The sequence below is a fragment of the Homo sapiens genome, chromosome 1, assembly GCF_000001405.40.
Source record: "Homo sapiens chromosome 1, GRCh38.p14 Primary Assembly".
NCBI classification, from domain to species: domain Eukaryota; kingdom Metazoa; phylum Chordata; class Mammalia; order Primates; family Hominidae; genus Homo; species Homo sapiens.
In genome coordinates this window covers 89,831,740-89,859,581 of record NC_000001.11, presented here as the reverse complement: position 1 = coordinate 89,859,581, position 27,842 = coordinate 89,831,740, and the positions used below count along the sequence as shown (strand labels likewise).

The window sequence follows — 27,842 nt, the reverse complement described above, 5'->3', positions numbered from 1 at the left end:
CAAATAATCCTCTTTCCCTGTATTGAAAATAATGAGAGGATTATTTCTTCCTCCCATTCACAATCCTTAACCCCGAACCATTTCTATTTTCACAGCTATACCTGAGGAACAGAGGCAGATAAATGTTATAACAACAATTTCGACAAGTTAAAAACAGACGAAAGGGTGCAATGTCAGCAGTCAAAGGCACCAAGGCAACATAGGTAAATGCTTAGATAAATGTGTTAAGATAGTAACAACTCCTAGAATTTTTATCATTGTTCGACACTACTATCTCCGTGTATGGAGTCTCTCATTTGAAAATGAGCTTAAAAAAAAAAAAAGAGTCAAATTACCTAGCTTTGCTATTACCTACCATTACTCCCTACATTTACCGAATAGTCTACTATTATGACTTGTAATGCGAATTTAAAAATTCAATTACATTTCAAGCTTATCTTAATAAGCATCCCAGAAATTTGATTTCTGACCCCTCTACTTCTTATAAGATATCTCACCAAAAATTTTGTAAAGAAAATTTATTAAATTTACTTATAATCCCTTAAATAACAATTGTTTATATTTTGTGTTCAATTGTAGACTTTAACATAGCTGTAATAATCAGTGTATTGTGAATGAATTCTTTTTACATTTATTTTGTAAAGTTTTCTAATTGTTTTATTTATGTCAAAATGTTTAATTCTATTAGTTTTAAACAGAATGTAACTATGACTTCATTTCTTGTCTTAAATGAAATTTCCTTGTTCTAACAATAAGCTATATTAAAATGGAGGCCTACAATTTTTGACCTGGAAGTACAGAAAAAGGCATCTGCTTTTATAAACTTCCTTCTCTCAGAAGACTCAAAAAAATTTCACTTGTCATTTGTTCACTTTGATGCAGCAAGTAAGGAAGGAAAAAAAAAAAGTCCAAAATTAAAATTATATTTACAAAATTTTATTTACTAAAATTATACTTACAAAACTTATAACTTTCTTGAAAACACCTGTAAGATCCATTAGTATTAAGACAACTTTTAAAGAAATCAACATTTCATCTGTTTGCACTAAGTCATGCCACTTTCTTAAACCTTAATTGGGGTTTGGTTTATATGTAAACCTCTAAAACTTCAGAAGATATAATTAACATCATGAGAACAGTAATGGTAATTTTCTCTAATATTTCACAAGGTGGGGAGGTGAGTTCCCTGAAATCCAGATGGACCAACAGCCTCACATTAGCTATCATCTCTTCACCTATTACCACAGATACTACCTGACATCCCCTCTCCACCCCACCCAAAAGGAGATATTTCATAACAGCAAACAAAAAAAGTATTACAAAGTTGTCATGAAAAGCTATACTTTTTTTGAGATGGAGTTTCACTCTTGTCGCTCAGGCTGGAGTGCAGTAGCGTGACATCTCTGCTCACGGCAATCTCTGCCTCCCAGGTCCAAGTGATTCTCCTGCCTCAGCCTCCTGACTAGCTGGGACTACAGGTGCTTGCCACCACGCCCGGCTAATTTTTGTATTTTTAGTAGAGACGGGGTTTCACCATGTTGGCCAGGCTGGTCTCGAACTCCTGACCTCAGGTGATCCACCCACCTCAGCCTCCAAAAGTGCTATGATTACAGGCGTGTGCCACCTTGCCTGGCAAAGGCTATACCTTAAAGTGGTTTTCAAGTGCTCTAATCCTACTCATTATTTTTTGAAAGATAGTGAAGAGCAAAAAGACATTCTACTTAGAGGAGAACCTCAATAATGCAGAAATAGTGGGGCCTGGTTAACTTTACATATGTAGAAAACTTTATGTCAAACCACAGGGTAGACTGATTCCAAGTCATTCTGAGGATTCAATTTTCATTGTGTAGGCACAGAAGGTATAGGACAGGGGCTGACAACCTTTCCAATGCAAGCTTAAAAGCAGTAAACCCCTTTCCTTTTTCCCACTAGTGGAGTGCAAGTAATTATGGGATAATGTGCTTATCTCAAGGTGGAAGCAGAGAGAGGGTATACATTTTAGAATCATAGATTTTCAGCTTATTTCGCTGTGATTTACCTCTTTCTTTCTCACCAAAATGGAAAAAGCTTTGTTTCTGATTATAAAATACCTGCTTGTTATTTTTTTTAAAAATCAGATAATACAGAAAATTATAAAAAGTCAAAATCACCTATAATCTCCACTCAGAGATAATTACTTTTTTTTTTTTTTTTTTTTTTGAGATGGAGTTTCGCTCTTGTTGCCCAGGCTGGAATGCAATGGTGTGATCTCAGCTCACCGCAACCTCCATCTCCCAGGTTCAAGCAATTCTCCTGCCTCAGCCTCCAAGTAACTGGGATTACAGGCATGCGCCACCACACCCGGCTAATTTTCTATTTTTTAGTAGAGACGGGGTTTCTCCATGTTGGTCAGGCTGGTCTTGAACTCCCAACCTCAGGTGATCCACCTGCCTCACCTCCCAAAATGCTGAGATTACAGGCATGAGCCACCGTGCCTGACCCCGATAATTACTCTTAATGTCTTGTTGAAAAGCCTTCAAATTTTTTTCTACGCATACACATACATATGTTTTGGGGTATTTTTTTGTTTTAAGAAACTAAAATCAATTATAAACTCTAGGGTAATCACTAAAACCTTTTTAAAAAGAAAGTATAATTGACATTCTCAAAGAGGAGATAAAATGGAATTATATGAAATGTTAACTTAAAACCACAGTAGGCAGTAAATGTGGGGGGAGAAACAGAGCATATGCAATGAATAGAAAACAGTTACAAGCGTGGTGGATATTAATCCAACTGTATCAATAACCACTTTACATGTAAATTACCTAAACACACCAATTAAAAGACACAGATTGTCAGAGTAGATAAAGAAAACAAGACCCAAATATATACCGTCTACAAGAGACCCATTTTAAATATAAAGACTTAGGTTTAAAATACCTAAGGGATTTGAAAAGGAAGCTAAGATCATAGCAGTAAACTGCTTGGAGATCTGATTTTCTATCTTTCTGTGAAAGACAAAATGTTTACCTATTTTACAACATTTGAGGAATACAGAATCACATTATTTGACACAAATTAATGACAGATGAATACTGCAGGCATATACTGCTCCCTCATCTTGCTTGTATCCCACAAATAAAAATCTGCCAATCATAAGAGCATTTACTTTCTTTCTTTAAAATAACCTCTCATATCTTATTTCTGGAAATAGAGAAATATTAATAAATGCTGTTATCCTTACCTGAGAGTGTGTGTGTGTGTGAGAGAGAGAGATTACTGTAGCAGATGCCTTTTTCAATATGGTTCAGTGTTCAACATGAGCTGCTAAACTTTTGCTACTAGCATAGCTATGCAATTATTTACTGATCTAGCAAGTTTAATTTTAATTCTAGATGCTAAACAGATAAAAAAAGTCAGCTGGTTTTCTACATTCTTCCTAAATTTAATGCCCAAGAAGGCTATTTTCCATTGCTGTATATGTAGTATGTTCACACTCATCAAATATATCTTGAAAATAGGCTCTTTCAGACACACTAGATAGTCACATTAGGCTAAGACAATTTCAAATATGCCAAAGGTACATTCTGAATTATACATACATATCTTGATGCCACAGGCAACAAAACAAACCCCCAGAACTAGCATTAGACTTATTTTTGTGGTTAGAAAAATGACTAAAAATTTCCCATTGTGTGATGATGCGTGAATCTTTGATCTCTATTGGTCTGACTTCATACTCAGGCTACTTAGTTTATTTTGAGAAAGCAATCTTTCCTGTTGTTTCTCAGGAAATGGAAGAACATATTTATGAACAATGTTTTAACTTTCAGTTTAAGTGGTTTTAATTTTTTAACTATTTTCACTTTGAAGAGTATATAATTATGTGGAGAAATTAAGACTCTCAAAAAGAAACTAGAGCAAAGAGGTGGAGAGGCAATTGTATAGTCAGACTTCAGCTAAAAGGGTGCATTTTTAAAAGATGCCTCACAAAAACTGTTACACCCTGTTTCTTCCTGTGAAGAATTTTCCAAGCATTAAGTTGTGTAATAGCTTAATGGGGGAAAAGGAAATTCCCAGGTTTCTCTCAAATCGGCATGAGCATAAAGAAAGATTAGAGGCTTAATTTACAAAGGAGTGTCCTATCACCTGCTTAGGCTTGTTAAATTATTACAATAATCTCTGGAGCCACTCATCTGACTGGATTCACCTTTTAATGCTAACCACACCTTGAGGGCTTTAAGATGTTATCCCTGTTCTTAAAAGGGGGCTCAGACAGTTAAATGGCTTTGAAGAATAAGTACACCTTCCAGAGGAAGAATACAGCCAACTCAGAAGAGTGATGAAATCCTTCAAAATCTATAGGCAAAGACATTCAAGGTGCAGTGATGGAAACGGAAAGGAGAAAGGACTCTTAAGGTAAGATCCTCTGAATACTTATCCTTCTCCAACTGTTCGATTCTCTTCTACAATACTACACTTTTAACAAAGAGTGAGAAATGAGCCTAGAAAAAAGAAAATGCAACCAGAGAGAGAGAGAGAGAAACAACATAGAGATGAATGCAAAGAGCATCACCTTCTCTTATGAAACGACTAAATTATCTGCTACCAGTGATTCCTCAGGAAACCGTGGCACTCAGCAGGAGGGGCAAAGGGTAAATCCAAACTGTCTACCCCACACGCAAATCCCATCACAGATTCATGCTCCTGTCCTTCCCCTTTTCTGACTTGCTACCCCTCTCCCATTGCCAGGTACAGACACAACTGCAGACACCTGGGTACGGTTATCTAACAGCTGTCCTGCTGTTCATGCTGTCAACTTCCCAAAGGCTCTGGGATTAGCGCTGCCATCAGAAGAACCCATAAATGATAAGTGATGGGAGTCTAGCTGCTCTTACTCTCTTCTCCACTCATTTTTGTCTAATGATGTGCAAATCTCACAGAAGTTCTGAGAGCTACAGAAGACTTGAGAGGACATCAAATGCAACTTCCTCCATTGAAAGATGAGGAGGAAGAACTCCCCGTCTTCCATTAAATGGAAGAACTAGGACTAGAACTCAAGTTCCCTAATGTTAAGTCTGCTGCTCCTTCTCTCCTCCTGTCCAATCTTTAAATCACCATCCAAACTTAATGTTTCAGGCAGGGCCTGTGCGTTCTATTGTAAAAGGTCATTCATGCTATTCATATTACAGTACTCTATCAAACAGAAAAAAAAAAATCCTCCGTCAGCACCTAACCACCACTGACAAAACTACAACTGGGCCTTCAATGACACACAGCTATCACTCATCCTAAAGCACTGGGCTCCTTTTACAAAGGTAACTGTTACTAACTTCCAGCTGTCTCCTCAAGGCCCCACACTCTCAGCAGATTTCATCTCCTCCTTTACTGAAAATATCCAAGCCATCAGGAACAAACTTTCTCAACTTCTTTCCCATCCACTTGCATATTCACCTACAGCCACACATATCTCTTCCTCGTCTTCTCCTGTCCCAATGGAATAAACGTCCCAATTCCCTTTTATAACAACCCCTTTGAGTATGCTTGTGCTCTAGAACTTGGCCCCCCTATCTTTTCTGGAACTTTACTCCATTAATGATTTCCTCTTCTACTTGTAGTCACTTCCTCACCACTATTCTCAACCAAACTATAAGCTCTAATCACTATCACACACATACACACAACTCCTCGCAAACGTGTACACACCCGCGTGTATCTGCTCGCTCTCCTGCCTGTGCTCTCTCGCTGTCTCTCCATTTGATGCCCCCACTTCTTAACTCCTCCTCATTCCTCACTGGTGACAATCCAGTGTTAGGCTTTAGAGGTCTTCTGACTACCCACTGAATACCTAACTGTCAGATCCAATCTCCTATATTCAATCTTCACTCTACCGGACCCTTCTGTGCCCTGATAGGACCTGACAGCTTTTCCCTATTTACTCTCTGGGCAGCGTGGCAAGTTGCTCACCTGAGGTTTAGACACCCTGTCTGTAAAAGACAATAACATAATTATTTCACAGGAGATTGTTGTAAGAATTGTATAATATATAAAAACAAACAAACAAAAAGCACCGGGTACTCAATGTTGTCACTTTTGTTTTCAGATTTTCCTCTTCTTTTGTCTGCTCAGTCTTTGATCCTTTGGCCATCCCTGTGGAGTTTCAACGACATTCATGGCTACCACGATCAATCCTAGTCACTCTTCAATAATTGTCTCCAGCCCTCACTTCTCTCCTGGGGCTCAGGCCTCTTAAGATCAAAAGAATGCCCCACAGACACCCCAACTCCACTTCAACTTGAACTCACAATTGTCCCTAAACTTCTTATGTTTTCCATCCTTACTAATGACACCTTCAGATGTAAGTCATCAAAACCAGAAGAATCAAGAATCATCTTTTTCCTTCCTCTTACTCCCTTCCTACTTTCCATCTAATCAATAACTAATTATTTCTCCTAATCATTTCTTCAATCCAGTCTCGCCTTTCCTTTCTCACCTTCATCACCTTAGTTTGGGTCCTCATGATGTCTGCCTGGATTATGATGGTAGCCACTAAAGTGCTCCCTGCTTTCTTTTCACATATCTGAAAACAGTGATTGCAACACTTATTTTACCTTTAATGACTCCACAATGCTGTCAGGATAAAGTTCACACTTTCAGAAATGAAATGCATGGCCCTAGACATGGGTTTGACCAAGAACCCAAGCCAGTAGGCACCTCCAGCCTCTTCTCCCCTCTGTACCACCATCGCTTGGCTCCATTCACTCCTAGTCCATGTTCCACATTCACTGAGCCCTTTGGGGCTCTGAACCTGGGCTGTTTCCTCAGTCTGTCCTTTCTCCATCTCGGCCTGGTAAATGATCTCAGCCTCTCAAAATTCAGCACCAAAATCCCCTCCTTCAGGAATTCCTTCCTCACAAACAAGAAAGAACAAAACACTCCCTTCTATGTGCCCTACTCTCTATCATTATCGTCACAATATATTGCTATAAAGTGCCTTAAGTTATAAAAAAGTTAAGTTCCAGTTAGTGGTTTATGAGTCTATCTTCAGAGGTTAGGCACCATTTCATACTCACATTGCATCCTCAGAACTTAACAAAATGACCAGTACACAGGAGGTGGGGATGACGGAGGGGCGGGGACTAAGATTTAATAATTTGGAGCTCAGCAAATGTCTCCTGTTGAATGGATGAAGTAGTTTGGCTGCCAATTATATTACAATAATTGAATAAGAGGGAAGGCTGGTAGGACAGCTACTAAGGGGAGCACAGAGGAATCTGAATGAGAAATGGAGAACTTCCATACTGATAAAGTCCTCTAATGAGCATGTAAGTTTAGTCAGGTAACTAGCTAGGGCTGTTATAATCAAACTCAAGAGAATAGCTAATAAATCCCATTTAAAGCACAATACGAGAACAATTCCAACAACCCACAGATATCAGTCTTATCCGTCTCAGCAGGTTTCGGACCCTAGAACATTCTATATTATGATTTTATCAGACTTTGTGCAAGCTTGGTAAATCTCAGCAGTTAACTAAAAAGACTGCAACTCTCTCCTGTGTCCATAAAGCACCTGAAGAACTACAGACACTAGAAAAAAAAAAATACAGCTATTATCTACGTAATCCTATAACTATTGGCCAAGGTTAACATCTTTGTCTTAGCCTAACCTTGTCACACAATATCTATTTTGAGACCTAAATTTGTCCCCATCATGATTTCAAATTTACTTATAATAATAAGCCATGCTATGTACACAACATGGTTTCATCACATTTTAAAAACCAAGGTGGTGCCGGTCGCGGTGGCTCATGCCTGTAATCCTAGCACTTTGGGAGGCCGAGGCAGGTGGATTGCCTGAGCTCAGGAGTTTGAGACCAGCCTGCGCAACATGGTGAAACCCCATCTCTACTAAAATACAAAAAATTAGCCAGATGTGGCAATGTGCACCTGTAATCCCAGCCACTCAGGAGGCTGAGACAGGAGAATCACTTGAACCCAGGAGGCAGAGGCTGCAGTGAGCCGAGATTGTGCCATTGCACTCCAGCCTGGGCAACACAGCAAGACTCTCGTCTCAAAAAAAAAAAAAGAAAAAGAAAGACAAGGGGAAAATACATTGTACTCTGCAGAGGCACACAAACACCCACTTACCAAATAAAGTGACCTAGCATTCAGTGTGACATAAATTGCAGACGGGGAAGAATAAGACCCACTAAACTGAGAAGACTAGAGCAAAGTAAACTTGGAGAAAATCAAGCTGAAACTGACAAAGTTGTCCCAATAATAAAGAGACATCTGTAATTAAGAGACTTTCAAGAGTATTCACCCATGCAGTCAGTAAGCATCACACCTCATAAAACATTCATTCAAAAGCCGTACCAGGAATGTACCTCATAGCTCTACAAGCACATACAGAGCAACAGAGGAGGACAAGCCTTTGCAGTGACACACCACTGCCCTACACAGATGACCAAGTATGAAAGGGAGCCATAACTGCTAACAAAAGAAGAAAAGAAAAGACAAAAAAAAAAACACAAAAAAACAGAAGAAAATGTAACGTCAGCAATATTAAAATTATGTTACCAAGTAAGGAAATTAAACAATATTCCTAGATAGGTCGACACATTTCTAGAAAAATGTGTCTTTTAGAAATGTGTTTTTAGAAAATGTGTAGCTGCAAAAAGTTAACACATACAAATAAGGGCAAGGAATCTGCCTCAAAATAATCTTAAAGTCTTGAACTTTAAAATTTATATTAATGTATCAATCATAACAATAAGGTCAAGTTATATAAATGTACATGTAACAAGAAGTCATGCTAATAAAATCATGTTATATAAAGGTACATGCAACAATTAAAACAGTGTATCCAATAGTAAAGAAATGGAGTCAACCTAAATGTCCATCAATGACAGGCTGGATAAAGGAAATGGGGTACATATACACCAAGGAGTAGTATTCCTTGATAAAAAAGAACATAAAAATTCATAGAAAAGAACAAGATCATGTGCTTTGCAGGGACTTGCATGGAGTGGGAGGCCATTATCCTTTGCAAACTAACACAGGAACAGAAAACCGAATACCACATGTTCTCACTTATAAGTGGGAGCTAAATGATGAGAACACATGGACACATAGAGGAAAATAACACACAGTGGGGCCTTTTGAAAAGTGGAGAAGGAAGAGGATCAGGAAAAATAACTAATGGGTACTAGGCTTAATACCTGGGTGATAAAATAATCTGTATAACAAACCCCCATGACACGAGTTTACCTTTGTAGTATACACTTGTACCCCTAAACTTAAAATAAAAGTTGAAAAATAAATAAATAAAACAGTGTATCAAAGGCCCAAGAACATACAATTAAGTCAACTGGAACCAAATAGAGATCTCAGAAAGATACATCTACATATATGCACTGACATCCTAGGGGTAGCACCAAAACTCTGTGGAGAAAGAATGTACTAGTTGGCAAATAGTGCTGGGAAAACTGGCTCACAATATGACCAGATTTTTAAAAATAAAAATTGGGTTAATACTTCGTATCTCAAATTACAAAGAGTTTAAAAACCCAAATAATAAGAGTAACCTTTGAAGTTAATAAAAGAAAATGAGGAGAGACAACATTGTGAGCCCAGAATAGGGGAGGATTTCTTAAATGACTCAAAATGCACAGACCATAATAATAATATAAAGTGATGAGACAAGTACATTAAAACTAAAGATTTTATTGTTGCTATTACTGAAAGGCACCATAGACAAAGTTATTAGGAAAGTGACACACTAGAAGAAAGTTACAATGTCTAAAGACAAAGAGGAATTAATTTCTAGAATACACAAGAAACATTACAAAAATTCTCTCAAGAAGTTCTTGCAAGAAAAAGGCAAGAGACCCAACAGAAAATAAAGGGCAGGCTAAAGACATAAAAAGACAATTCATGGAAAAGGGAAATTAAATTAAGTAAATGAAGACATGTTCAGCCTCACTAGCAATCAGAAAAAGGCAAAATTAAACCATTAATTTTGGTTAGGTATAATTATAATTGATTAGGTATAATCAACATTTATCAGGTTGGCAGCAATCAGGAAATTTGTTTAAAAAAAAAAAAAAGGCATTATGCAGTATTGGTGGAGATATAAAGTTGGCAACTATCTGTGCAGTTCCCAGTAAAATTATGCAGTTCCTAGTACGCATATATCCTATGATCCAGCAATATTGTTTGTGGTCAATATCGCCTCAAGAAATTCTCATGAAGGCCAATAAATTCCATATGCCTAGGTTGCTTAGAAAAAAATTAATACATACTACATGGAAGCCAAAAATATTCATAAAAATGTTGACCCTTTCATGTCCCTATTTGTACTGTCTCCATATTGTTTACAGTTTTAACTTAACTTTTGCTGAAAGGGTAGGTAAGACTAAACAAACCATGATCATTTCTTTACATAGTCTAGTTCAAGAACAAGGAAAGCAGGATATACAGTGAGGGAAATGTTTTAGTGTTGGAGACTGCACAAACCTGGATCCAAGTCCAGGCCTTAGCTTGTCTGTGTGACTTGGAGTCTCTGCCTGCCTCAGTTTCTTCACATAAAACAGGGTTATTGGCCAGGTACGGTGGCTCATGCGTGTAATCCCAGCACTTTGGGAGGCAGAGGCGGGCAGATCAAGAAGTCAGGAGATCGAGATCATCCTGGCTAACACGGTGAAACCCCGTCTCTACTAAAAATACAAAAAATTAGCCAGCGTGGTGGTGGGCGCCTGTAATCCCAGCTACTCGGGAGGCTGAGGCAGGAGAATGGCATGAACCTGGGAGGCAGAGCTTGCAGTGAGCCGAGATCGCGCCACTGCACTCCAGCCTGGGTGACAAGGCGAGACTCAGTCTCAAAAAAAAACCCCAAAAAACCAAAAAAACAAACAGGGTTATTACCCACTCTGCATAACACCAGGAGGATTAGAGATAATCAGTGTCTATTTGTCAATGCCTGAAAAATATGGTGTTCAATAGATAGGAAGTAATTTCTTTTAACAAATAAAGGAACTTCATGAAATAACCCTATTAGATTTCCATGCCCTGCTCAACCTATCTCAAGCAGAATGACTTACATTCATGTCAATACAACACACACAGAAATCAGAGAGACTAATTCAATATGAACCCACACATCAGTTTTTCCCACTGCAGAACAGGGATAAATCCTATCTCCCTTTCCTTAAACTTACCACAAATTGTAAAGGTTAAGATTGGGAAGCCTCTTTTAGCTTCTGGGAAATGAATATAGGGCTGGTGGTGGTGGTGGTAGTGGCTATGACCATCATGATTCTGAAACTGGCCTCACAGTCCTGACTCTACAAAAACAGGGAAGGCATATTCGCAGAAGTATTGTAGGGAAAATGCTCTTAAGAGAAATCCAGTTATCCATGACTAACTGCAAAGATCTCAAAGCTGACCATGAAAAACGATTAGCCCGGAAACATGACCAGATCCAAAATCAGGGCTTAACACATCATCCTTTTAATGTACAACAAAGAGGAAAAATTCCACCTGGGAATCTTTATAATCTGATGGCTAACATATTATGCATTTTTCATCACCATTTCAGCATTTTCAGTCTGGAGCAGTTGTTTTGCTTTGGCCTCAATTCCCAACCTGTAGACTTCAGGGTACTGCAAGAGGTCTGTAGGCTGAATCCCTACCTCATATATACATGCAGTGCTATTTTACAAATACAGGAAGATGCTGAAGTCATTATTTGCAATATATACTTGGCTGATATTAAATAACTCTCATGAAACATCTGCAATTATAAGAGATACGAAGTAAAACAGTGAACCAGTTAAGATCGTTGAAATCTTTTAATATTAAATAAAAGCTTCCTGATTTTGGTGTCAGGAGCCACTGCATTACAGTTTACAATTTGACTAAGAAGGCATTTTTTACTTTATAATATACGTGAAGGGAAAAAAAGTTTTGAAAAAATGAAATCTTAACTTGCATTTATCTCCACTCCTAGTCCCCTCTTGGCCATTAACTTTTCCTTGGCATTTAACATCAAAGCTAGTTACCCTTTCATTTTTAGCCTTTCTGTTGGAAGAGATGCACGGCTGGTTCACAAGCCACTGCAACTCACCGACAGACAGAAAAGGCAGTGCACTGCGTATTAAGGAACCATACATGTATCATTTCATTCCTCCCTTACAAAACAATGAGCTCTCATTTCCTCTCTTTTGCTCCTCCTTTACCTTCTCCTCTCCCTGAGGGTTTTGACCACAGTTTTACAGAGGGGAAGTTATAGGCCACTACAAATATTCCAATTATTGAAGAGAAGACAAATATTTTATCCAACACTTATGAAAATTGTACTCCAAATTTTAATTTGCAGTATAACAAATTAAACCATAATTTTACAGTTTAGTTAATGGTGCAACATTAAAACTGTAACTAAAGAGAGCCTCAACTTTAAGCGCTACAAAGATAAGGAAATAAACTTACTTGCATCTAAGGAATGTTACAAAAATATTTAATCTATAATTTAAAGTTACATGGGTTTGCTCACGTTGTTCTGTAATGTGAGCCTCTCAGTGGATTACTGTGAGCTGGAATGAAAGAGTAGGGGATGCGCACAGTGGCAGCAGTAGTGGGGAGTGGAGAGTCATATATATCATTTACTAATTAATTAATTTTCTGGGATATAAACTGCCCTAGGAGTAAGCCAGAAGAGGTTTTTTAATTCTAAAAAATTAAAATATGGTAATCTGATCCCTTGGAAAGATACTTGCTCACTAAAACCTGACAAAAGGTATCTGTAAATTAAAATATACTACTAGAATTTTGGCAGAATACAAATCACACTGGTGCAAACACAGCTAAATCTAGTCACAGACACACAGGAAGTGTAAATTTCAAATATGAAAAAAAAAACTGCTTTAAAAATGAAAACAAACCTTGAGTTCTGGGCAGAGCCTGAGTGAAGAGGTATAACGAAAAACCTGGAGATTTGGTAAGGCAATCCAGCTTTCTTTTGGAATGGCAAAGGACCACCTGAATCAGCACTGCCACCTCTTCCTTAGGCAGCGGCTTTCCAGACTACAAAAGAACCACGGATTACATCAGAAGACCTTGTTCAGGTCCCAACAACTCCATTTACTAATACGACCACTGACAAGTTACATCTCATCAGCCTGTTTCCTCTCTCCATAAACTGGAGAAAATGAATCCTACTTCACTACATCATTGAAAGGAGCAAGAAGAGTTTAGCTCTGTTGAAAGGAGTAAAAAAAAAAAAAAAAATACATCATATACACTGTGTAAACAGAACATGACAATCTAAAGGCCAGTTATGATTTCTGAGTTTAAATATCACTAGAATAGAAGGAGACTCTGTTCTTAAATGGGAGATTTGGAGGCTCACAAAAGCTGTTCTACTGTATCTTAGAGCAGAGTGACAGATGCTAAAGAAAGTCCCCAAATAAATTAATAAACTGGGGGGCAAGGAACACACATAGGTATAAAAGTAGAGGCAGTGGCTGGGTGCAGTGGCTCACTCCTGTAATCCCAGCACTTTGGGAGGCCGAGGCGGGTGGATCATGGGGTGAGGAGTTCTAGACCAGTCTGACCAACATGGATAAACCCCATCAATACTAAAAATACAAAATTAGCTGAGCGAGGTGGTGCGTGCCTGTAATCCCAGCTACTCGGGAGGCTGTGGCAGAAGAGTCGCTTGAACCCGGGAGACGGAGGTTGTGGTAAGCCAAGATCGCACCATTGCACTCCAGCCAGGGCAACAAGAGCAAAACTCCTCCGTCTCAAAAATAAAAAAAAAAAAGTAGCTGCAAAACACTATGGTTGTACAGGTCTTTCAAGAATCTCTCTTGACTGGCTGAGTGTGGTGGCCTCCCAGTATTTTGGAAGGCTGAGGTGGGCAGATCACTTGAGGTTAGGAGTTCGAGACCAGCCTGGCCAACATGGTGAAACCCTGTCTCTACTAAAAATACAAAAATTCGCTGGGTGTGGTGGCGTGCACCTGTAATCTCAGCTACTCAGGAGGCTGAGGCAGGAGAATCGCTTGAACCCAGGCGGCAGAGATTGCAGTGAGCTGAGATCACGTCACTGCACTCCAGCCTGGGTGACAGAATGAAAAACCGTCTCAAAATAAAAAGAATCTCTCTCGATTACTTTCTCACTTTTCATGACGTATTTGGCAAGAAGAGGCATAAACACAGCCATCTCACAATTAAATTCAAACTTACGAAGTTCATGTCTATCTAGGAAGGATAAGTTTAATTGTTCAGTTTTCATAGTGCATTTTGGCTACTTAATGCCATGTACTTATTGATTACATGTTTTGTACTCAAGCTGGTAAATTTGTACCACCCTGGTAAATTTTCCTTTCAAAGCAAACTTAATTATGTAGTAAATATGTTTTATGATAAAATTTTCAGCATCAGAATGCTATAGTCAGCATCCCACGTCATGAATGTAAATTCTACACCTAACCCTGACTCCTTAGATGGCTTGGCTACCCGATAAAGTGAAAGCGCGCAGTGTATGTGATACTGTGCTACACAGATTCACTTTTCCTCTGTGCTACAGGGAGAGATCTTCTTTGGCAGAGTCTCACTTTCCTCCCCTCTAGTCATATGCTCACATCCCTTCCTCGGAAATAAAAATTAAGAAGATGCTACTGGCTTTAACAGGGCTCAAACATTTAATTTGAGGCCATATAATGATCCCATCAAACTGATTATTCTCAGCCATCCCACTCCCCTTAGTGTCCTCCCCAAGACTAGAGTTTCACCAGGTAGATAAACAGGCGGTAAAACAAGGCTAGGCTTTCACTGGGGGGAGAAGTCAATCTGAGTTATTCTGGAGAAAGATTGGACCTGCCAGGGAAATAAAGATGCAAAACGTCTGTAGCATAAAACCAACCCTAGTGTTTTATTCTCCTATGAACATTTGAGATGGAACACGATGTGGAAGTGAAAGTATAATCTACCTGGTGAATTTGAGAAAAGTCACTCTCAATTTTACTTTGATGACAAATGGAATTAATAAAGATGCCTGGCTCATATGTTAAAGTACCTTCTGTCTCAGCGAGGAGGCCTGGCTCAGAAACCACAGTGGAGTTAACAAGCCAGACACCAGACTAAACATCTCAGAACTCGCTGCTGTGCCTCATTCCTGGTCCCTACCTTTCCGGTGTGTGCCTGCATCATTAATTCCCTCTGTTTGGCATGGCCTGGCTTTCCCAAAACAGAAACCAAGGAACCGGGGTCCTCTGTTTCAGCAGCTGAAGAGCTGATTTCTGAGCATGGACACTAAGATTCTTTTCTCCTGTCCACCTTACACTTCACCCACAACTCATCTTCTTCCTCTTCCCTACGTCCCAACCCCTTACCCTCCCACCACCCTGCCTCCCAGGACATTTATGTGTATGACCCCAGACCAGTAAGGGAGGAACAAAGAGCTGCTGCTTCAGGCAGCAGCAGCTGGAGGAGAGGGTGGAGAGGGCAGCTGGGGACTCCAGGAAGACTCCCCGAGCACTGGCAGCTCCAGCGCAGCCCGGGGCAGTCCAGCCTGGAAAGCGCCCTAGTGGAGTCCTCGCAGGCGGCTCCGCAGCGCACGCCCAGGGCCTTCCGCCGGCCCGAACCCAGGGCGGCAGCAGCCAGAGTTTGGCAGAGACCCCGGGTGAGAAGCCAGTGGTGGGGGGCGGGCAAGTGAAGCTGCAGCACAGAGCTGGAGATGCAGATCCGACACTAGCAGTGCTCCGTGCCGCAGACTTCCCGACCCGCTCCCTGGACCCAGACCCGACCCCGCGCACCTGGACCAAGCGGCCACCCTGTTCTCTCAGGGCGCTCTCTGGGGACGCGGCTTGGGCGAGCTCCGGAGGCTGGAACCACGGCGACAGGAGACTTCACTCCTCCATCCTGAGACCCGGCAGCACGTTATAGACAGCCGTGCACTTCCTGTTTGAAAACACAGGGGAGAGAAAGAGCTAGAGAGATCCAAGTGTCGGCAGCGGGGAGGAAGGAGTGCAGGGCGGCGGGGAGGCAAGACCAGGGGGTCACCGCTTGCATAACTGCCATGGTGGGCACCCAGCGCTCCCCTGGCCGTGGCGACCCCGCCGCACCGGCTGCCCGCGTGGTGCCGAGGTGGCGCGGCCTCGGCCCGGGCCCCCCCTGCTGGTGGCCTCGCTGCCAGCCACCCGCCCGCCCGCTCGCTCACAGCCCTTCCGTTTGCAGCTGCTGCTCGGGTTCTCCCCTCCCCACAAGTACCTAGATCAATGGACTCCACGCTTCCTCCGCCGGTGCCCAGTGTGATCGGCCTTCTTTTTCTTCCTTTCTTCACCCTCCCAACCCCCACCCCTACCCCCCAGAAAATAATTACCTCGGGGAAGGTGTAAAGACAAGACTGAGCCTTTGCAGGGGAGTAGGGGCTGGATTTATGCAAATTTTTAAAGTTCATAGCCACATCCCAGTATATCCACTACAGCTCAGCAGCTGTGAGAGATTCAAGATGGGAAATTACTTGTCTTGTGCCTCGCTGGCTCAAAAGAGAAAGCGTGCACACAGCTGCCAACACAGAGCAGCCAGGAACTGCAAAACAGTAACAACAACAAAACTACATAGTATCCTCGGTTCCTCCTAGGGTCTCTACTCAGATCAACCTGTCAACCTCATCCTCACAGTCTACCAACATTTATATATACCAATTCCACATGGAGCATAATCGCATGGTGCATTCTTCCAGAAAATGATTCCGTAGTTCTCTGTGCTATGTAATCACAGAGAAGTTCCATAGTCCTGGGATTACATTCATTCATTTTGTTGAACTCTGACTTAAGTGGACTTCAGTACAGTGTTAAAAAGAGTACACAGATGGCTTAAGAATCTGCTGTATGTAGAGTGTGCTGGCTATGGGGATTCGCATTTGTAACCTGCCTGCCCTTACATGCACAGTCTACCAGGTTAAAAAGCGCTTACAGGACTGTCTCTTGACAAACGGCTCCTTTTATTATCAAGCTGTTGGCATTCATGGTTCCATACTCAAAATGGAGAATGTAATACAAACAATAATCATTCTACATATGAAGCTCAGTTTTGACTGAAGCAGAAAGGAACGGATAGATATTAAGCTCCTACTCAGTGCTAGACAACATCTCATTTTAAATCCCTCTTGGCCTTAATATTTTCCAACAGATCTGCAAAAGTCATATTCCCAAGTGAGGAAACAGGGTCAGAGAAATTAAAAAACTGTTCCCATGGCTCTGGCAGAAAGTGGTCAAATGGAGAACTGAATACAGGTCTTTCCTGATTATAAAATCTGTACCATTTCCCCTACACTGCGAATTCCTACAATGATCACAAATTCTTTTTTTTTTTTTTTTTTCTGAGACAGAGTCTCGCTCTGTCGCCCAGGCTGGAGTGCAGTGGCGTGATCTCGGCTCACTGCAACCTCCGCCTCTCGGGTTCAAACGATTCTCCTGCCTCAGCCTCCCGAGAAGCTTAAACTACAGGCACACGCCACCATGCCCAGCTAATTTTTTTGTATTTTTAGTACAGATGAGGTTTCACAATGTTGGCCAGGATGATCTCGATCTCCTGACCTCATGATCCACCCGCCTCAGCCTCCCAAAGTGCTGGGATTACAGGCGTAAACCACCACTCCTGGCCAATGATCATGAATTCTAGGGAGAAAGTCCAGCACAGCAACCATCCTGTGATCCATCCCTTCATCTCTGAATGATCCTGCTACTTACCAGCTATTGCTGTTGTGGTAGGCAGTTTCTTTAACCACCTGAATAATACACACCTTAATTTCTCGGGCAGAGGATACTGGCTTTTTCCATTACCTACTGCTGGCTGTCAGCCTTTCCAGAATTACTTGGTGGCAAAAGTTCAAAAGGTTCTAGAATGGCTACTCATATGCCAAGGTACAAAGTCTGTCCAGTTCAGAACCTAACAAGCTGACTAAAATTCGATTCCTGCATTATTTTTTCTCTAACTGGGGCTCTTTAAGAAAGTGGCAAATGATGTTCACAAAAACACACATGGCTTCAAGTTGACATTCTCTCATTTTCTGTTTCCTTCTGCTATAACACTTAGTTCACAATCACCTGTCAGTAGCATGCTGCTATGAGGCTCCTGACGCAACCAAATGAAAAGGTGATTAAGAGTCTTGTGCACTCACAAAAAAAAGGGGGGGGGTGGTCTTGACAATACTGAGGCCTCCAGACGATGAACTACACCTCACCCACCCTTTTCTCCTCACCTCACAGACTTGAATTGTAGTGCACCCAGATGACCATGGCCTTCAAGTACAAAGGCAGGGGCGGGGAAGAAGACTGCAAGGACCAGTGAGATGCATTCCTGTCCACTAGGCACTCGCAGTCTAAGGAGGGCTTCTTACTAAAAGACTTCTCAAGGGATCTTAGCATCCTTTTAGGGTCTAGCTCTGTTCACCTTTTTCCTTCTCTCAATCCTTTGCTTACCGTGGTCCTGGCAACTCTTCATGTCTTTTCACAAACTTAATACTTCTTCCCAAACAGCTACCACATATTTTCCACAAAGTACTCAGTGTGGGGAGTGGGGATGTGAAGCAGGGCATTTAGCTAGAAACTTCTCTCATTTTAAAAACCCTGTCAATTATTACCATGTTTTTAAGGACACAATTATGTTTTGAAATATCTTTTGGTATCCCTCCTTCATTTTTGTTACTCATTATCTAAGAGCCCAAGGAAAACCTCTGAAGAAAAATATTTAAATTCTTAAGAAAAGGCAAAGGAAAACTTAAACCTGCAGAGCCTTTGTTTTTTATATTTGGGACTCATGCGATTAGACTATCTAACTTCTTAAAATCTCTCTTAGGAAAAATTCAAAGTCATTAATCTAAAAACAGTTAACAGTAGACTATTCCTATTTTGTCCAAGTACTGTACTGAGTGATAATTTAATGATATATAGGAGAGTTTGTATGGTTTAATAGGTAACAAAATACAGAAGAGCATTTGGTGGGAGACTAACAATGGTATTCGCCTATGCTGCTATGTCCACACCCAAATGTCTAATACTCTCCCCTCCAGAGCAGTGGCCAGCTGTGGGGGAAGGGCAGCCACATTTCTCTTTCTTAGGCTCCCTATAAACCCAAACCCTCCTCCTTATCAAAAATATTTATTAACATTCACTCTGTACGACTCCCAAAGTTTACAGTTTGGAGAATACAACACAGCCCCTGACATTTCCTAATCCTAACTACCATGAGGCCTGAACACCATCTCATACTTTCCCCTGGTCAGCTATTCGCCCGCTCCTTCTGTGTTTCATGCAGAAGTGTTTCTTTCTCATAGCCGCTGTTATGCTTTTGTGTGTGTGTGTGCATGCGCACGTGTGTGTGTGCACGTGTATGTATATATATTAAAATCACAACCTCATAAAAAGAAAAAATGCGCTCTCAGGTAGGCACAAATTATGCCACAAAAGATTTTGGAAAAATGTGGAAGGTTCACTTTGAAAGTCTCCACTCCCTAAGTACCATAATCCCCAGATGAAGAGACCAACACTGTGAAAGCCATTTTAGAAGCTCCAAATTCAGTTTCAAGAAATAGCTTTTCTGAGGACTAATGGGTGTGGAGGAGGAGATGATAAACTCATCTCTAAAAAACAATGCTGCTTATCTTTCTTCATCTTAAGAAAGATCTTAGTTTGGCGGTTAAAAATGTTTGCCACAAGCAATTCTCTGTGTGAATATCAGGAGTCCTGGTGATTATTACACATGGATTTTACAAACAAGAAAATAAAAAATGACAAGCTGTCTGGTTGCCAAAGAGATGACCCTCTGCACTATCAGCCTTCACAGCAGTGTCCCTACCTTGTCTTCACCTCCGGGGTAGCACATGCAACAGGATTTTCTGGGAAGGAGGTCTCTGGCACTCACATTCACTTCCTGGTCTCTGCAAAACCTGAACCATGGCTTTCAAGGAAGCCTTTCGCAGAGCCAACTGGCTGGCCTGATTGGCATTTACCCATAGAGGATTATTAGCCATCTTTAAAGAACCAGAGTAAGTGTCATTTCACATGACAAAATGCAGCAAGGGGTCGCAAATCATGTTTAAAAAAAAATATGCCTGTAAGATAGTTTCCTGATTTTGAGAAAGCAAGAAGGAAAGCACTACTTAAAGCACCCCACAGCATGACTTAGAAGATCCAACCACCAGGCAGGTAGGGCCAGGGTGGCTACAGGCCTGAGCTGGTATCTCTCTAAGCTCAGTGCTCCAATTTCCTCAGCTTCCAAACACACACAATGAACCCACACACCTTGCACAAAATTACTAACATTACATAGGACAAACCCTCACAGGCCCTGCCTCAATGAATTCTCAGAACTACCTTCGCAGGGAGGTGTCATTATTAATGTGTTACAGAAGCAGCAGCAGGGCTCACAGATGTTAAGTGATATTCTCAAAGCCTTAGGTAATGGAACGAAAACTCACCCTGGGTCTGTTCTTCCTTCTTTTAATTGAATAGAAATGAGTGGGTGCATTTTGGCTGTGGATATATTATTCTGCACTACATATCTTTTGCTCAGAAAAAAAATCCCACTTTAAAAAGATAACTTGTAATGCTCTCTCTCAAGTGCATCATACACCCTCATCACCTCGCCAGATTTTGGTAAAGTGTAAAGGATAAACATGTATTTTGTAATAGGTCAACTGACTTTAAGCCATAGGAATATAAGTAGATATAAATTAGGTAAAATATGCACTTGAGCTGCAGCTGGATATTATTTTATAAAATAATAAGACTGATCCACTGATCAAACTGTGATAAACAAAATCTTAATACATTTTTTCCAAGCTTCCTCTCTCATTCTTCAATTAGTATGCAAAAAAATGCATGTAAAGTAGGACATGATGGTTGATGTACTGGGATTTACTAGGCATAATACTGTGAAAGAAGGGTAAGATCCCCCAAAATTCTGACTAAATGCAAATACCTGTATAAAAGACTGTTCAAAATGCTCCCAGCACAGACTGCTAGGAATGAATAGCCTTGGATTATTTAATGACTGTTGATTTTGATGTGTATTACATAGATGAAATACTGTCCTATAATTCATTCTTCTTTGGAAAGCATGTTTTGTCTGTTAATCTTCTGTGGTAGTATCTGCTTCCTTATTTGAAACATTGTTTTAATTCTCTTTGGGCAATCTTATTTATCTTATTTTTATTTTTGAGACAGAGTCTCACTCTGTTTCCCAGGCTGGAGTGCAGTGGCACAGTCTCAGCTCACTGTAGCCTTGTTCTCTCAGGCTCAACCAATCCTCCCACCTTAGCCTCCCCAGTAGCTGGGACTACAGGAGCTCGCCACATCCAGCTAATTTTTCTTTTTTCCCCCCTTTTTTTTTTTTTTAAGGGACAGGGGTTTCGCCATGTTGCCCAGGCTGGTCTCAAACTCCTGGACTCAAATGATCCACCCACCTCGGTCTCCCAAAGTGCTGGGATTACAGGCGTGAGCCACCACGCCTGGCCTGGGCAATCTTGTTTTTTAAATAACATATTAAAAAGCCCAACAATGTAAAAGGGTTGGATCCTAAAAAGTCAAATAAATATAATGTTCATTATTAAGAAGTGTTCTTAAAAATGACTTTCAGAGTTCATAAGGAATAAGTCACACACATCATATCTTGAATACAATTCTCCATTATACATTATAATGGAGTCTACACGAAGAAAAACAATTCATGAATAATTTAAGGTTACAAAATTAGATACTTTAAATTTCATCTCCTTTCCTTTGCCTGTAGTGGAATAGCCAAGGCAAATAGCACGAAAGAGAAACGGAGTACCTGAAAACTCCAGAAACTTTATTATGAACTTTTAATAGCTTATTCATCAATTTTTTAACTAACCCTAGTTTAATAAATGCCAAGCACTTTACATGTATTAACACTTCAATGATTCCTGACAACAACCCTATGAGGTAGGAGTTATTGTTATCTTCATATTACAGATGAGAAAAGAGACATGGACATGGAGATGTTAAGTAATTTGCCCAAAGTCACACTGCTAGTAAATACTAAAACTTCGATAGCCTGGCTGACCAGAATCTACTTTAACCAACACATTTTCTTACCCATAAGACCCAATTGGATTGAGTTTGCTTTCCCTTGTGTGAAAGTTCATGAGGTACAGTGCCATAAATACAGCAGAAGAAAAGAAGTGGGGAGGAGTGGGGTGAGGGGCTCAGAGACTTTCCAGTTTGTAGCAAGAATGTAACCACTTGTCTAGGGGCACTAGGCTGAAAGCTTTAGGAAGTCAGGGATGCAGAGCCTGGGCCACATTGCTGAATAAATAAATATTAAGAAGGAAAGAAAAGGTATTTGCAGAATGAAAAGGCCAGGAGGAAGGGCTGCTTCCTCACCTTGACCAGAATCCTGGATTTCAAGGCTCCAGGATTGCCTGGCTACAGCACAACTGAATTAGCAACTGAAAGGAATGCAGTGAACCCATGTACTTTGATCTTGGTAAAGCAGTTGATACAGTATCCTGTGAAATCAGGATCCTAAATCAACCAAAACTTATGTTGTTCCAAGAACCACACAAGTTAAGCAGGCTAGAAACAAAAACACTGGCTACATCTACTAGTATGATGAAGAAAAAGCCACAAGGAACGGAATTCAATCCGTATTCAAAAGTAACTTGGAAATTACTCACGCTGTTTTAATCAAATTTGCACATAACATTAATTTGGGAGGTGTGAAGAGGGCAAATGAGGGCGAGCCAATTGACTTAGTTAAATTAGCAGAGAGGTGAAGAAAAACAGAAGTTCAGTTTCATTTTTGTGTCCCCTTTAATTTGCAGGGAGTGGCTATGGATGTCCAATGGGTAGTAACCACCTCTAAACCTAAAATGCCAAGACTGAACTAAGTAAGCAATAGCAAATAGATACATGTTTAAAATGTTAAGACTTCAGGTCTGAACTTCACAGAGCATGATCGTATTATTCCATACACTATCAGTAAAGTTCCATGGGAAATAATATTCCTTTCAACAAGACTTCGTTAGGAAAACCCAAAGAAAAGAAGGGGCTCAAAGGCTGAGTTTAGGAGGTCAGATGAAAATGTCAGTGGCGTATGTATAATCTGGCCCCACTACAAATATGCCGCACAGGCAGAAGGTCATGAGAATGGTTTGCAAACACATGGCAGGACAAAGAACAGTAGAGAAGGCAGAGAGAAGCAAGCTAAAACTTGAACTAACATTATTTTTTTAAGCATAAATTATAATTTCTAATTTCTTTAATGTTGAGAAATAGCTTATCCCTTGGTAGAACTATCTGTCCTCCCAGCAAAAATTGTATTTTAAATGTTAGCAGTTGATTTAGAACTAACAAATGAGAGTAAGAGAGCTCTGAAACATTTGAAAAAAAAATGACCTATATTCAGGCTGGGTCCTAGGAAATGTAAAAGTGAGCATCATTTCATGTAGCTCCTAAGAGACTGAAGAACTGCACTATTAGCTCTGTAGCCAATATGCAGGAAGAGATTCTTGACCAGATATGGGTTTTAAGTATGTCCTAGCAGGCTTGTTCATGGGAGGAAAGCATATGTTTCTAGAAAATAAAAGGCTCTGAAAGGAAAGAGGGTCACTGAATAATTAAAACTTTCTAATATGTCACCCTTACTACTCTCAATCATAATTTGTACAGTTATTTTTTAAGGTGAAGCCCTCAATACGCGAGCAATGCAGGCAAGGAATACCTTTAGGTATCTGCAGAATTAATGACAATAATAACAGCAACAGCAGCTAACACGTGAGTGTTAACTATGTGCCAGGAACTGTTCTAAGCATTTTATATAAACCATCCTCACAACTAACCCTAGGAGGTAAATATTATTGTATCTTCATTTTATAGTAAGTTAAGTAACTTTCCCATGTTCCCATGGCTAGAAAGGCAGAGTAAAAACCCAGGCAGTAAACTACAGAGCTCATGCTCTCCAAGAGATTGTCATTGAAGACAGGTACAGCCCACAATAAAATCCCATATATTCCTCTGCCTTCTAAAAGAAACAGCAACAAAAAAGGAGAAATCTAGCACAGGGGCATAAGGATTAGAGCCATCCCACATTCTAGATTTGAACAGGAAATACATGTGAAAAACTTCAGCCAAATGACAATGCTCTGAGAGATTACTGTTTAATACTTACAGAGGACAAAAAGCAAACCATAGAACCTACACAGACAGAACTTCCACAAAGTTTGATGACTGGCCCCCTCCCATGGTTTAAAAAATCATCCATACAGGGACAAACTCAAAATTAGCTTCAGCTCAGACCTTTCTCTAGAATGCCCCAATGCCCTCTAGAACCCTTCCCTCACCAGGCTGCCCTCAGAACCACCTGCAGAGCCTTCAAAACACACTTTCCCAGGCCCTACCCAAGATGTGAACCACTGAAATCATGGGGGTGGAGGGGTGCTCCTGGAATCTGCACATTTAGGAAACTCCCAAGTGATCCTTAGATGCAGCCTAGTGCTGGCGAAAGCCCATGCTACCACCAGAATTGCTGAAGGCAGAGATCAAGGCAAAATTATTTCCCTTCTCAAGAACCTTCAATGGAATAACCTTTATTCAAAGGCAACCAAGTGAAGTCTAAATTCCTCAGCAGGACACTCTAGGCCCTCTGTAATCTGTCCCAAACTACTTCTCTGGCTTCCTTTCCTCCTCCATCCCTCACTCCATCCCAGCAGCATTTCCCAAACACATTCTGTACTTCTACAACTCCATGCTTTGCTGCTCCAACGTTCCCTCAGCTCTCCCATCAATTCTCTACCTGTCACCATCTTTGTCATCCTTCAAGGCCCTATTCAAGGTATTTTTCCTTGTGAGACCTCCCCTGATCTTTCCAGTCAAAATCAGTCTCTCCTTCTGAGCAAATGTCCAAAAAATGTAGCTCTCACAAGAATTACAACATATACTGCAAACTGTGCTGAATTATACTAAACTGTTTACATGCAGGTCTTATCTTCAAAGCAGGGGCATATCTTACTCATCTTTCATATTGTGGATGAGAAAGAGACCTAGGTCGAAGTTTAGCTCTCCCTGCTAGTTATTAGCACTGTATCCTTGAGTGGGTTATTTAAACACACTGAGCCTCAGTTTTGTAATCTTTGAAATGGAACACCAATGACACCAACCTTCATGGCTGATATAAGAATAGAACAGAAAAGTGGCCCACTGTGGACCACCTGAAATGCACTAACATGATAGCCGTTGTTAATATTTAGTGCTAACTTTCGTTTCCCACCCCACTAGAGTGCACTGCAGACAAAGTAAATGCTCAAAAAGCATTTGCTTTTACTCAAAAAAGGCATTTGCTTTCAAAGTAATGATAAATGTTAAGTGATTTCTTAAAGTCCTTTCTCCTGACCCAATTTTGTTCTGTTATAAAGAAAATTTCACAATATTTCTATTCCTATTCTATTTGTACTCCCCTTTCTTTCCTTCAAAAATTAATGTTCAAAATTCTAATGAACAAACCCCGTCAGTGTCCCTCCTACTCTAGCTTGGCTGTTTGCTTTGAACTACAGCAACTGCCTGCAGCCACAGTGTCGCTGCCCAGAGAATTGCCTGCTTCACCCTTGCAACAAATAGCACTTTGTAGGCAAACTGGAAGAGAGCCCAAAGTAGGAGGGGGGAAAACCAAGGAAAAGGAATTTGGGCCAAAAACTGAGTTGACACCCACACTATCATTCACACTGGAATACAGGTAAGGAGAGAACAGGAAAGAAAAGGGGTTCAGATCAACACAAACCTTCCCCAACCACCTACCTCACCACCCACCCATGGAAAATGCATTCCAAGACTCACAAAGGACTTGCTGGTCAGCTCACTGCCTGACACACATGGCTATTGTGAATAAAATACTGTCATATATAATAGCTTCTTATCCTCACCAAACCAATCCTAGTGCCGTTACTGTCCCCTCCCCCATTTACAGGAGATGAAACCCAAGGTCACACGAGTCCACAAAAGAGAGTGCTGGGATTAGAACTCAAGTCTTTTAAGCTCCAAATCCTAGGTCCTTCCCACTGCCTCCAAATAGGTTGCAAAAAGCAATTTAAAAAGTGCTCTCAGAAGCTCACCAAATCTACCAGTTGTAAAGGTAAAGGTAAAACAAGATGGGTTTTGTGCTGTTAAAAACAAGTCTGGTGCCAAGGATGCGGGTTGTCACAGCAACAAGGCTCCAACTACAGCCTTTGTAATGATCAGTCCAGCGTTTTAGTACGGTGTTCCAGGAAGATCCTTTAGTCAGGTTTCTGTTCCTAGATGGAAACTGTCTCCATGATTTCATTTGTTCATTTGGTTTGGGGAGGCAGTATCAGGGAAGGAATATAATTTTATTTCTTTTTTCAACCAAACTCTGATGCTGACTTTAAGACTGAGGTAATGTGGAAGGCAAAAGAAGTTTCTAAAGCAAATTTATGTTCGTCGTTGTTGTGAGAGAGTTCAAGGGGCAATGAAGGAGTCCTAAAAAGCACAGATCCTGAAGCCATGGCAGCTTGGGTTCAAATCACAGTTCTGCCACTTCCTGTAATGACCTTGGCTGCTCATGGTGATTGGGAGGAGCAGCCAGACTAGAGAAGCCAGCCTTGGTTTCCTCTGCTACAAAATGGGGCTGTTGTCAGAAGTAAATGAGCTAATATATGTAAAGTGCTGCAAACAGTGCCTGGCACATGGTGAAGTGTTTCCTAGTCTTATTTCCAGATTCGTCACTAGGACTGGATTCTTTTTTAAGTGTATTTTATAAGAAGGTTAAAGAAGACTTCTTGTACAACTTGTTAACGCATAATGCCCCAAACGAGCACAAACATTATTTACAAGTTTCACTTCCTGATAGGATCTTCCAGGACTTCCATCTGTAGAGTAGAGTCCCTAGAAGGCCGAGCAGTGGAATTTGAAGAATTTTTCTTCTTCCCAACAGTGCAAGAAAACCTGAACCCATTCTCTCAATACTACAAATGGTTTCCATAAGGGGGAAAAGAAATCCATAAAGATCCTTACTGCACTAAAGTAACAAATAGAAGGGGACATTTTAAAATGAATTTATTCTAAAAAGCAACCAAAGTATTAGAAATTTAAAGTTATTCCAGTCTAGAAAGACATAGTTCAGATCACACAGGGATGATAGCCCCAGGACTGGAATAAAACCTGCAGATGATGAAAAGACGTTGTTCCCCTCCCCACAGAAAATGCTGAAATTCCAGGAACAAGGTACTATATACTTGGGATGATTAAGAGCAAAATGCTTTTAAAAATCCTCTCAGACTAGGATTCTGCTAGTAGCAGAAATCTGTTCAAATTATTACTCTCTTCTCTTTCAAAGAGGGTGTATGTACAACAAATTACACAAACGATGTTAGATTTTCCCCAGAAAAGCAAATAAAACTAAAGACAGGAGCACTATTGGGGTCACAGTAAAGGTCTGAGGTCCTGTCCTGCACCAAGATACCCAGATGGTGGAGAGGGGCTAAAACCCAGTAGACAATATCCTCCCGGCAGTGTGCCCTGACAGCGCAGACGCAGCCCTGCTGACACTGCTTCACACAAAGGGACCCTGGAGGCTGGCCCTTCAAAAGCAAAACAAGCTGGTGTTCCAAACCGTCTTTTTCCTAGGGACTGCTGTGTATACCCGCTCAATGTCATAGTTTGGATGGGGGAAAAAAATGATGCTTTGTACTCTAACATAGCCAGCTTTCCCCTATGCAAACATTTTCCAGCATTCTTGGTTTACTTTTTGCTATCAGCTGTTCTCTGGACCCCTCTTCTTTATCTCACTCCCTAGTCTTCTTTCTGACATAAACTCTTT

At 40.7% G+C, this 27,842-nt stretch overlaps 1 protein-coding gene across 12 annotated transcripts in view, besides 2 other annotated features; it reads right to left on the bottom strand.

Annotated features, from left to right (window-relative positions):
- LRRC8D (leucine rich repeat containing 8 VRAC subunit D) overlaps positions 1-27,842 on the bottom strand; it is a 115,580-nt gene that overhangs the window by 77,030 nt on the left and 10,708 nt on the right. For 6 of the 12 annotated variants that reach the window (XM_047423953.1, XM_047423956.1, XM_047423944.1 and 3 more), the window contains exons 2-3: positions 15,800-15,944; positions 12,924-13,065 (exon numbers count right to left, since the gene is read on the bottom strand). The gene's annotated coding sequence lies outside the window, so the exon portion shown is untranslated. The remainder of the gene's footprint in view (positions 1-12,923; positions 13,066-15,799; positions 15,945-27,842) is intronic. The other 6 variants (XM_047423947.1, XM_047423940.1, XM_011541689.2 and 3 more) reach the window with 1 other exon arrangement.
- Positions 15,975-16,194: a silencer, noted in NCBI's record as "silent region_1060". NCBI's record gives its function as "represses an Ori minimal core promoter by ATAC-STARR-seq in GM12878 lymphoblastoid cells {active_cell/tissue: GM12878}" and the evidence as "EXISTENCE:reporter gene assay evidence [ECO:0000049][PMID:35858748]".
- Positions 16,718-17,012: a silencer, noted in NCBI's record as "tiled region #10367; K562 Repressive non-DNase unmatched - State 15:Elon". NCBI's record gives its function as "represses a minimal TATA promoter and a strong SV40 promoter by Sharpr-MPRA in K562 cells {active_cell/tissue: K562}" and the evidence as "EXISTENCE:reporter gene assay evidence [ECO:0000049][PMID:27701403]".